This window comes from Homo sapiens, chromosome 16 (assembly GCF_000001405.40).
Source record: "Homo sapiens chromosome 16, GRCh38.p14 Primary Assembly".
Taxonomy (NCBI): Eukaryota; Metazoa; Chordata; class Mammalia; order Primates; family Hominidae; genus Homo; species Homo sapiens.
In genome coordinates, this window is record NC_000016.10 from 86318595 (window position 1) to 86331772 (window position 13178).

The following is a 13178-nucleotide window of genomic DNA, read 5'->3' on the forward strand; positions in this document are numbered from 1 at the left end:
GTATCATAGTGTATCTACAAGGTAATTGTTAAATCAACTTGCAATGAATAATAATATTTAATATTATTAATAATTTAATAATATTTAATATTATTAATAATTTAATGATATTTAATATTATTAATAATTTAATGATATTTAATATTATTAATAATTTAATGATATTTAATATTATTAATAATTTAATGATATTTAATATTATTAATAATTTAATGGTATTTAATATTATTAATAATTTAATGGTATTTAATATTATTAATTTAATGATATTTAATATTATTAATTTAATGATATTTAATATTATTAATAATTTAATGATATTTAATATTATTAATAATTTAATGATATTAATATTATTAATAATTTAATGACATTAATATTAATAATTTAATGATATTAATATTAATAATTTAATGATATTTAATATTATTAATAATTTAATAATATTAATATTAATAATTAATAATATACACATATTATATATAATATGTATATATTATATATAAATAATATATAATAATTATATATTATATAATATATAATATAATATATATAATAATATATTATATAATATATAATATAATATATATAATATATAATAATGATATATTATATAATATATATAATAATAATATATAAATAATATATAAATATATAAATATTATTATTTATATAATTAATAATAATAAATTAATGCATTTTATTTGGAAAGTTCTTTATTCTAAAGAACTCCTTTTCTGGAGACTTTACACCTTTGGGCGTAAAGTTCTAATCCAGAAGCAGGAAAAGAGTGAGAAAAGGGTGGTTGCTGTAGTATATTTTAAATTGTTACATTCACATGCGTGAGGAAATTTTAAATCTGACTCCCACTGTGGTCACCCTCCCTTCCACCTCCTCCTGCCCTAGGTAGAGCTGGCTTTCTTACCAGCTGCATTCACCTCCACTCTCATCATAGCTCTCAGGTCAAATTTTCCTGTGTTCTCAAAGCAAAGTGAGCTCTGGAGGTGTGCACATTCCTAGGTTCCAGGAAATTCCACCTTACAGAAATCCCATAACTGAGACACTGCCCCATCCAGGCTGCAGGTCTGAGCAGAAGGTCCTCCATGCAAAGCAGCTGCTGTGCAACTTTCTCCCAGTGAGGAGCAGAGTTCAATTCTTTGAGGACCTTTGCAGAAGCGTCTGCACCAGGGCGAAATCCAGGGGCCATGGGGAAGGTGGGGATGAGAGCCGCCGAGAACGAGCCCAGTGAGCTTAAGTTGGAAAAGAAAGACGCAACCAGAGCTGGATTCTGGAGAGGATTCTGATTAATTGGACCCATCCTTGCCCTCCCAATTCCAACGTTCTTCTCAAATAGAATGAAACATCGAGGGAGGGGCCAGCCATTGAAACATGGAGTTCTGGGGACAACCCTGTCATCGGAGCATCTGCTGCATCTGGCACCCGCCCCCTCCCACCTTCGGCATGTGAGCATCTGGTTTGACTTTCTTGCTTATCTGAATGATTCCAATTGCAACACCATCTCGTCTGTGGTTTCACTGTTCATTATGAAATCATGTTTTACTTTTAAAATGCAATAATGGTGGAACCAAGCTAATTAGGCACCGAAAACAAAATCTCACAGTAAGGAGGGTTTTCTTTTTTACCCATGACAGGAGAGCTGGGATCAGATTATTGCTAAATCTGATTTGCAGTAGGCTCAGAGTGAGGTATCAGCTTAAGGGTTTTAATTGATTTCGGTGACCTTGTGCCAGAAACAACTTTTTAGGAAAAATTAATAGCAGAAAAGAAAGCGGTTATGACTCATTGGAATGAGAGATCAGACATCTTCCGCCTCTCAATGTCATCATCTTTAAAACTGTGACAGAAATATCCAATTATTTCCTCAAAGCTGCAAAGACTTTGATCATATAACACTCATGTAAGATGCAAGGAACCAAAATCAAAATATATGTAGCTTGCTTAATAAGTATTAATATCTTTTAACTCCCCCTAAGAGTCTGCTTTCTTAATGCTATAGATTAAGCAAAATAAAAGACCTGCAAATTCCAAGATGAGGTTGTCTTTTCAAATTGTTAGCTCAAAAAGGGGCTTAGTCACCTATAGCCCCAGCTGATTCCTTTTCTCTGCTAATGACCCTCTTTCTCCAGGGTCACTGTGTTCCTCCGTCATCTGCCATAATTCCTCTGATATTCCTGCCCACACCCTCAGTATATGCTGGGCCACCAGCTGGCCCGGCACTTTTTGGACATAGCCCACACCCAGTTTGGAGAATAGCTATCTGGAGAATAGCCCACAGCCTGTTCCTCTGTTAGAGGTTCCATTTACCGGATGCTTGCTATTAGGTCGGACTACACGAAATTGCCATTTTTTGTTGGTCAAAAGCAGTTGGAGGTTGGCAGTATTGTAGGGTTCAAACAAATGGGTGCCAGGCACAGAAAGAAGAGCCTATGTGTTTCCAAAAGACGGTTTGGCACTCAGGTTATGATGTGCTTTGATGCCCGGCTTAAAACTTACCTTGTAGGCCGGGTGCGGTGGCTCACACCTGTAATCCCAGCACTTTGGGAAGCCGAGACGGGCGGATCACAAGATCAGGAGATCAAGACCATCCTGGTCAACACTGCGAAATAAAAATACAAAAAATTAGCCGGGCGTGGTGGTGGGCGCCTGTAGTCCCAGCTACTTGGGAGGCTGAGGCAGGAGAATGGTGTGAACCCGGGAGGCGGAGCTTGCAATGAGCCGAGATCGCACCACTGCACTCCAGCCTGGGCGACAGAGCGAGACTCCGTCTCAAAAAAAACCAAAAACCAAAAACCAAAAAACTTACCTTGTAGCCTTCAGCATGTGACCTTGAGTCACCGTGCCTCAGTTTCCCCATCTGTGAAATGGAGGTAACAGGGGCACCGGTGTCATGGGGAGGGTGTGATGAGTGAAAGAAGTGGTGGTGGAGGTGCAGAACTTAGGATGTCACCCAGTGCTACAGGAGCCAGCAAGCCCACAACAGTTCCGAGACCAGAGGACACCATGCCGGTGGCTTGCTCGACATCTCTCCACTCCTTCCAGCCAAGGAGCATGCTGCTCAGATAAACCTTCCAGCCCCCTTCACCACACGCAGCTGCCTCTGTCCTTCAGATTCGTGGAGCTGGGGCCTGAGGACTTCCCTTCCCCTTGGCCTGACCATGTTGATCAGCCAACACCCAAACACCTGAGTTCCTCGATACTTTCTGAGGTGATTTAAGTCCCTGGTGTTACACAAGGATCAAAGGCGAGTCCCTGAATACGAGAAGCTAATTTGGTTGCCAGGTATAAAAATAATCTTGCATTTTTGCATGACAGAAATATTTACTGAGATGATTTTTATTTTCTGCAGGAGGGCAAACCCTCACTCATTTGAGGAGGGTCTCAGCTGTCGCTTTTATTTTAATTTCTAAACTTTATTTTTTAGAACAACTTTCTTCCTTCCTTCCCTTCTTCCTTCCTCCCTTGCTTCCTTCTTCTCTCTGTCTCTTTCTTTCTTTCATCTGTCTCTCTTTCTCTCTCCTTCCTTCTTTTCCCTTTTCTTTTCTTTTCTTCTTGTCTCCTCTCTTCCCTTTTCTTTTCTTTGATGGGGAGACTTGCTATGTTCAGCCCAGACTGTTCTGGAGCTCCTGTCAGCCATCTCTTCACTTGGGTTTCATTTTTTGGGGGGTGGAGTGGGGGACAAGTTTGTCTTTTCCCCCTTAGCCCAATTTATCTCCAGTGTTTTCATTCTCAAGGGCTATATATTTTGGTGGCTTCAACACTAGGGCTCTAATTGCACAATAAAACAAAAGAATCCCTCCCAAGGGACCAGGCTTGTCCCAGAAGTTCCCCTGGAGTCAAGCTTTGGAGGGCACACAATGACCTCCTCCACAAACAAACAAATAAATCAGGCCTCCTTCCGGTTCTCCTTCCAACAACGGTGCATAAACAGTGCCAGCCTCCCTGGCCAGGGCGTTGGAGGCTCCCGCAGCTTCTACCAGTCTCAGCGGGAGGTTTGCCTGGACTGTCTGGCAAACATCTCAGCCCATCCCGCAACTATTTTCTCAGTGCCTGTGGGTCTCCCATACTCCAAGAAAAGACATCTGGTGTGCCCAGCACCCCCACCCCCATCATCCTAAAGGAAAATATGTCCATTGATTTCTGATCTCTGTACCGTTAATTCACCCCTCACCCTCCACTGCTTTGGACGGTGACAGGCAAGAAGGGGGTTGAGACTTTCAAATATACATATCTATGTTTAAAGCATTTTGTTTTGTGAACCAGGATGTTGCACTCGTCCAATGGCAAATGTACTGGATCCCCCAAAGACTCCACGTTCAGAAGCAGAATCTGCCAAACTGGACGGAGCCCAGCTCTGGCCGGCGCCTTCTGTCTCCTGGCTGCTGAGAGGCTGAAATGTCAGGCACTCGCCCCTCTGCTCTCAGCCACTCTTCCTGAGTGACCAGGCCTGAGAAGCCCTCCCCTCAGGGATGGCGACCTCTCCCCTGCCCACTCCCCAGCTGAGCTCACCTTTGTAGGTAGGAATGAGCAGGTAGGAAAGGGGAGAGAAGGCCACGGAGTTTTCAAAGGAGGTGCCCTAAAGCAAGAAGGAACAAGCCTCGTCCTGGGAATGTTTCGCACCATCATTCAAAGAGAATCAGAGCTCCTGTGAATCCAGGGGCTGGGGGGTCATGGCCTGCCTTTGACCCTGACATCCACGCTGGGACCTGAGTTCTGCATTCATCCCCATTTCACAGAGGGGGAAACTGAGACCCAGAGAGTTGGGAGACCTGCCCACTACCTGCTACTGAGAGTCTGACCCCAGAGCCATGAGCCCCTCAGTGCTATGCATGGGGACCCCGCTGGGCGTGTGGATCCAATCGCGGAATGAGGGATTCTGCCAATGACCCACCGTCCCAGAGGAGGGCTTGAGAGGAAGATCATGTCTGGTTTATTCTTAGAAGCGCTGTCTACCAAGCCTCTGAGTTCCTGGCTCTAAGCGGGAAATTGCAATTGCATTTAGAGCACCCCTATCTGCCAGGTTGACGAGGAATGCCCTCTAGCATTGGGTGTGCTCCTTTCTTCTCTAACATGGGATTTCCTCCACCCCAGCTTGTGTGGACCCTGGGAAAGCCAGGGAGGAGAGGCGGGAAGAGGAGAGGGGGCTTGCTGCTGGCTGTCAAAGGATGGGGCTGGATCCTGGGTGCCCCATCTTCCTGTCCTCTGGCCTAAGATGCTAAATTCAGTTTTCTAAGGATCGTTTTCACCTTGCCAAGGTGCTACTGAGAATCCCTTTTCTAGGCCCATCAAACAACCCTTCTCTGGGACCCTACAGGTTCAGGAGCGAGTGGCAGAGGCGGGGCACTGAGGACTCTACTGGCTTTGTCATCTGAAAGGCTCCAGGATGGAGGGAAGGGAAGGGGAAGTGCAGAAGGAGGGGCTACTGGAAGAACCGACTCCCGGGCATGTGCAGGGAAGGCAGGCGAGTCTAGGGCCACCTGCTTCCAGGATATGGGTTTCAGGCCTGATTGCAACTCATTCCCAGCAGCTCCTGCCCTTCCCACCCCTCAGGCCCCATGGACCCCAGGAAAACCTCCCAGGCAGCGAATGCTGACAGGCTGAGAGGAGCTAGATTATCTGCTTTGGGTTAAAATAAAACAAAATCAGAATTTTAGGGAGGGAAAGAAAGAGGTAAGCTAGGGACATGGCGTGCAGGGTGGGGGCCGAGCCCATCTCTTGGGGATGGCCCGAGCTTGTTTTTCCTGGCCCCACTCTTCATGGCACCACTACGGTCACTTTCAGAGAGATCCACCTCCCGGCCCTCGCCTGCTCAGGGCTGAAATCCTGCAAGGGAGACTGAAAGCTGGACCCGTAGGCTGTGGTGTCGGCCTCCTGGAAGCCCCACGGACTCTGAAAGCCCGGGGAAGCGACCAGCAGTGAGGCCCATTGGGCGGCGCTGGCCAGTGTTGGGTGGTTGCAGAAGCGGCAGCCTTTGCAAGTCTCTGGCGCGGTGACCAGGCTGGAAACGGGAGACGGTGGCCTCGCATTTGACCTTTCACCTCCTCTCTACTAAATAGGCCTAATTATTGCATTCGTCTGTCACTGGAGCCACAAATGATCCATTCAGGTCACGGAGGGGAGGCTGCCTGTGCAGCCCCTGTCTGGAGAGTTCCACTAATTGTATCCTTTAGGCGCAGTTTGGCAGAGGTTTGCACAGGGTGAAGTTTCGAGGGAGACCCTTTGTGCCATGTGCCCCCAGGGGAAAGGATGGCACCGTATCCTGGGCATCCTTCTCAGTGAGGTCCAGGCTTCTGGCTCTCTGGGCACCTGAGGATGGAAACATCCTTTCTTGGGCCCTGGGTCTGAATTCTAGGGTGTCTTGTCTGCAGCTTGGCCAGTGCTCACTGTCTACCCCAGGGCGGTGCTCTCTAGGGTCGGCTATGGTCCCCAATACCCAGGCTCCCCGGGCCTGCCATGCCCATGAGGAGCCCACATTTCCCAGCCTCCTTTGCAGTTGGGTGACCATGTAACCCAGTTCTGGTCATGGCCTGTGAGCCAGGGGTGTGTCACCTCTGGGCCTGGCCCATAGAAGCCCCTGTGACCAATCCTCAGCATCTTTCCCCACTTGCCACCAAATTGGAAGGATTCCAGGAGCAGGGGGCAGGGGTACAGGATGGAGGAAGCCTGGCCCCAGGTGACTCTGGGGAGTGCAGATAACCACAGCACCCCAACCTGTGTTATAGGCTATGTGAGCACAAGGTAACATTATTTAGTTAAGTCATTCAGATTAGGTTAGGTATATTTAATGTTGAGACTTGGATGTTTAGCACTTGTTTAGCACTTGGCCTACTCTGACTCATGCACTTAGGAGCTGAACCCCACGTTTATCTCAGAAGCTAACATTTTCAGCTAGGGGATGATAATGTGACAGCCTCCCTTGCAGCTAGGGTTGGTCAATGGCATGTGAGTTAACATTGCTGGGAAGACCTCTAACAAACCTTCCTGAGAAAAAAACCGACAAGTGTTAGCTCAATCCCTTTTCCCTCCTGCTGCCTGGGATGTAGATATGATGGCTGGAGTTTCAGCAACCATCTTCAGCCATGAGGTGTTAGGGATGTTAAAGCAAGAGAAGGAAGAAGTTTGAGTCCCTGTGGCTGTGCGGCCACTGTAGTGACCCTAGACTCAATATATAAAATAATAAAGAAAACTATAGTTTTTAAAACCACCATTATTTTGGTTTTTTTATTAAATGTATTGGCACCTAGTGCTACCAACTAAATTCCTTATCCATAAAAAAGTAGGAACCCTGCAACAATTAACTGAGGTGGTATGATATATGTAAAGTGAGGCATGATAATACATCTAAAGTGAAGCAGGATGATATGTGTAAAGTGAGGCAGGATAATACATGTAAAGTGATGCTGGATGATACATGTAAAATGAGGCAGGGTGACACGTGTAACGTGAGGCAGGATGACACGTGTAAAGTGAGTTGGGATGACACGTGTAAAGTGAGATGGGATGACACGTATAAAGTGAGGCAGGATGACACGTGTAAAGTGAGGTGTGATGATACATGTAAAGCATACAGTACATAGCAGCAGCCAAATACAGCCTATGCCAGAGCTTCTGCACTCTGTTACATTGCTCACATGCTTCTCTTTCTTATTTAATTATGTCTTTTTTTCTCAGTGACAGGGTTCTTGTGTTATTTAATTATTTTTTTTTTTTTGAGATAATGTCTCGCTCTGTCACCTGGAGCTGGAGTGCAGTGACATGTTCTCAGCTCACTGCAACCTCCGCCTCTTGGGTTCAAGCAATTCTCCTGCCTCAGCCTCCCAAGTGGCTGGGATTACAGGCACCCACCACTACGCCTGGCTGATTTTTGTATTTTTAGTAGAGACGAGGTTTCATCATGTTGGTCAGGCTGGTCTTGAACTCCTGACCTCAAGCGATCCACCTGCCTCGGCCCCACAAAGTACTGGGATTACAGGCATGAGCCACCGTGCCTGGCTGTGCTATTTAAATTGTAACCTTACCCTAGTGCACAGTAGGATTAAAATTGTTTTTATTTGTAGGAAATTTTAGTCTATCACTTTATCTGTTATTTGAATACTTAAAAATACACCATTCACTTTCATATCATTATCTATCTATCAATCATCTATCTATCTATCAATCTATGAGAAATAAGCACTGTGGAAATAAGGGAGATGAGAATTGAATAGTAGAATGAAGTTTGGGATAATGTAGACATAGAAGTTCCTAATTTAAAGTTATATACAATTTCCAAATGGTCATAAATTCGCCTCTGAGTTTCCTAAGAGCCAAAACACAAGAGAAATAAGGTAGCTTCTTCCAGGATTTCAGTGTGTGTGTCTGTGGGGGGCGGGGGGGCGCAAAGTTTAAATATAGAAAACAAAAATGTTGCTTGGCATACATGCAATGTACCCTCATGCCCGACACTGCAATCCGAGAGGAAGCCCTTGACATAGTAGATGCCATGCTGAATGTTGTCCCCAGGACTTCAAAGATCACATTTGTCTATTTCCGACTTTGTTACTCAAGATAAACCAAAGATGCGGGGCCACAGCTCTAACTGGTGAAAAGAATCCTAAGAGGGCTCACAGCAATGCCACGGCCAGAGGACGGCAGCCAAGGGCTAAATGTGCTGGCTCTGGATTCAAATCCTGGCCACTTACTTGCTGTGTGGCCACTTCCATGGGACTTTAGCCAAGCTGCCTCATCACCTCCTGAGCCTCAGTTTCTTCTTCTGTGAAACAGAGTTAAAAATGAACGTGCATGAGACAGTGGGGCCACCTCCTTGCCTGGAGTCCAAGCTGCCTCTGCGCACGCCCACCTCCTCCATGCTTTTCCTCGCAGCTTGTCTCTGCCGTCTAAGGTTCCATGGTGCCTCCCACATTCCCAGACGTTCACGGCCTGAGGCCAGAACACTCCCCATTCCCGGAGTTGCACCTGACCAACGCCCTGGCCATGGAGTCATCACAGCAGCCCCACAAACACCAGCATCCATGCCAGAGCTTCCCACTGAGAGTGGGTTTCAGATGGGGCCGTTCTTTACTCTTTCCACTCCCTCAGCAATGCAAAGAAAGGGAAGGAACCAACAAGAGGCCTCTTTTCTTTTCTTTTTTTTTTTTCTTTTGAGACAGAGTCTCGCTCTTTCACCCAGGCTGGAGTGCAGTGCCACAATTTTGGCTCACTGCAACCTCTGCCTCCCAGATTCCAGCAATTTCCTGCCTCAGCCTCCTGAATAGCTGGGATTATCGGTGCCTGTCACTACGCCTGGCTGATTTTTGTATTTTTAGTAGAAACAGTGTTTCACCATCTTGGCCAGGCTGGTCTTGAACTCCTGACCTCATGATCCACCCGCCTCTGCCTCCCAAAGTGCTGGGATTACAGGCGTGAGCCACCATGGCCCGCCTTTTAACTTGGTTCTTCTGTAGCAAAAGGGTGAGCCCGCCCAAGTGATACCAATTCATGAAAGCCAGGATGTCAAGGAACCGACATCAGACACACAGCCAAATGCTACCAGTTGGCCCTGCAATTGCCTTTCATTATTCTTTGTGAACTGACAGTAAAACTCTTTGTGAAAGGCAGTAAGAAAACATCCAGGACTCTCTTGGACTCTGGGCTGCTGGGTTTGGTTGTGCAGGTTGTTTACTGCCCAAGGTGCCTGGCCAAGGAGACACGTGGGGGTTGAAGGCCAGCCCATCCTGCACTCCCCAGGCCTTGCACCTGGCTCAGGGCTAGATATGTCAGGAGAAAAAGCACCTTTTTCTAATTTGCACAAAGATGCCATAGGGGCTACTGGCAGCCGGCTTAGATCACTGGCTGGTAAGCCCCCTGTCTTTGTGTGGTTTCTACCTCTTTTTGTTGATGGAGGTTTCCAAATTGAAAGCAAGCATTGAAAGCATGTTGTGGGGATTTGGGGCATGAGGCTGCAGTGAGCCAAGATCATGCCACCGCACTTCAGCCTGGGCAACAAGAGTAAAACTCCATCTCATTAAATAAATAAATAAAATAAGTGACATAGTATTTACTTTAAAATACGTGATTTAGTAAAATAAGCAATGTATAGCTAAGGTTATCTTATAATTTATCATCAAAGTGAGACATTTTTCAAGTAAAGGGCCCACTGTGATGAGTGTGCCGGGACCGCAGCCGTAATTCAGGAAGGTCCTGAGGAAACCAGTATTACATTTGCCTCAGTTGAACTCTGTAATATTATTCTATGCCGTCAGGGTGTTTGTAGCATGGAAAACCACTCACTGCATTTGATCTATGGGTGTCCATCATCCAGATATTATTATTGTCCCCGTGGTCCCTACAGAAGTTGCCTCCAGTGTTCTCATAAAGTAGGAGGGTAAATGCAATGCGGAGAACTTGACTCAGAAAATACAGAATAAATTTTCAGTAATTTTGAAAGTAAAAGAGAAAGACAGTTTGATGAATACAGACATTTGTTCCATTTTGTTTCGTTGTTCTTGTTATTGAAATGAGTACACCCATAGCAAACCGAGAGCATGAGTATCTAATAGAAATAGGACATCTTCTCAGGAAGCAATGTCTGTGAGATGGGTAATAAAATTATCCAAAGCAAAGGCATCCTGGAATAGACTAACAGATGGAAGAGCCAAGATCCTACATTAGGTAAATTTCTTACTTCTGGATCAATTCTCTTCGATGCTTAAAATAATTACAGCTCCATAGATAAAATTCAATCTCCCTCTGAATGTAAAATTCTTTAGGCTCTCATTCTCCTCGCCCTGGATTTCTTGCCCTGAGCCCTTCTTGTGCATTTGAATTTCATTAGCTTTTGTGAAAATATTGCCCCATAGGACCATGATTTCCCTCATTTCAATATAATGGGAAAATGTCACAAATGGCACTGTGGTTTATAGTTTTGGAACATCATTTCAGGTGAAGGTCAAGGTGAAAGTTCCAACTTTATCTTGGCAGGCACTTTATAGATAGATGCTCAGGAAATGTTTGCTGAATAAATGGGACAAAGAATGGTTTCTGGGGAAGACCAATGTGATGGGTATTCTCCGCTTGCAACCTACTCTGTAACTTAAGAGCAGTGATTAGGGGATCATTCGAGGCAGGAGTAGAGCTGTCTGTGGCACCATCTTCCCAGCCCCCTCCCTGTGGAGTCCCCCATCTGTGCCCCATCTCTGGCTCAGCAGTCCCTCCTGCTAAGCTTCAGTCCTTCCTTCTTTCCCTTCTTCATGCCCAGTGGTAGAACCCGTCCCCATATGCCACCTGTAAGGGGCTGAACTGGGCATTACCATTCACATACCTCACTCACAACTTTGTACACGGTCTTTTGTCCAACTCTCTTCAAATTTCCCAATTTGACTTCACCACCATGCCATTTCTGTCCAGAAGCTAGACAGTTCGCTGCTGGCCCTCACCTTGCTCATTGGGCAAAGATTCAAATTTAACTTGTCCAACTCCAAGAAGATCATATGTGCAGTAGAGCTCACAAAAAGCAAAATAGTGTTTGAAATTGGCATCATGTCAGAATCATTGTGCCTGGGTCAGGTGACCTGAATGGAAGGCTGGGAGGAGGGGGCTTCAAATGTTTACTATATTTAAAGTTTGGGTCGGGGGCGGTGGCTCACATCTGTAATCCCAGCACTTTGGGAGGTTGAGGCAGGTGGATCTCTTGAGGTCACGAGTTCGAGACCAGCCTGGCCAACATAGTGAAACCCTGTCTCTACCCAAAATACAAAAATTAGCCAGGCATGGTGGTGGGTGCTTGTAATTCCAGCTACTTGGGAGGCTGAGGCAGGAGAATCACTTGAACTTGGGAGGCGGAGGTTGCAGTGAGCTGAGATCGTGCCATTGCACTCCAGCCTGGGCAATAGAATATAATAATATTCTCAAAAATTAATAATTCTCAAAAAATAAGAATAATACAAATAGTACAAAAAAATAAAGTTTGGAAGGAGAGGCCAACCCACTTCTCAGAGCGAGCAATTGCCTGGAAACTGGAAGACTGGGGCAGTGTCTATTGTGCGCCGTGACCTTGGGCAAATCCCTTGATATCTTGCATTTTAATTTCCTTGGAAAAAATCTGAGGTGGGTTGGAGACTCCACTAATAACAATACACGTAAAGACCTTTGCCAAAGCAAGTTCAATCCCATTCTCGGTGCTTTTTTCCGAGGTTATTTTTGTGTGCCAGTGCATGCATGCGACCATATTTGATAAGGTATTTCCTGGAGGTGTTTGCGAAAGTCCATCCAAGCCAGGGGGTCGCTGAACCTCAGGAACTGACCAGCCCCTCCTCCAGCAGAGTGCCGTAGGGGAAAGAGAATTCCACATGGACCCTATTTTTGTAGCATTTTCCCTGAAATAGGAAGGCAAGATTCTGTCTCATGTTGCATGCTGGTGGCTTTCCCTCCCGCGAGCACTCCCACCCTCTGAAGGAAGGACTTCCCTTGGCCTCTTGCTTCCTTAGCAGATTTCCTCAGGCCCTCGCTCAGGGGAATGCCGACTCCGCAGGAAGACACCCGCGACCAAGGCCTGCCCCAGGCCCTCGCTATCTGACCGTGGATCCCACTTGAATCCTTTCCGTTCCTCTGGAAGGAGCGGAGAGGGCTTTGCCCCGTAGAATCATCAGAGATCGGATGGTCTCAGCTTTAGCTCAAGGAAGATGCCCCTCAAATGTGCTTCCTCCAAGCATCTAGGGACCTGATGGGAGGTGGTGCATCCTGCCTGTCCCATGGAGGACCCTTTGATGAGGTGTTTGGCTCATTACCCACCACTTTGGGAAGTTGCAGGGTGCATCAGGGCGGAAGCAAGGGCATGGGGTCTGCTGTCGAACTTCCGCTCTCCCTTCTGGCTACGGATTGAGGCTTGCTGGGTTATCTGGGAAGGGACCGCACGGGTTGCCTGACGAAATAAGGACGCCCAGGTACATCTGCATTTCAAGTAATAATAAACGTTTCTTACAATAGCATGAAACATACTTTTATAAATGTGGTGTGTTGTTTATCTAAAATTCAACTCTACCTGGGCATTCTGTATTTTTATTTGCTGAATCTGACAACTCACACAGTGTCAAAAAACTGGCACACGGTAGGCTCACAGAAAAGCATTTCCTTCACGATGTTTGTCCATTAAATAGATATTTTTTGTGAGCCTACTGGCCACG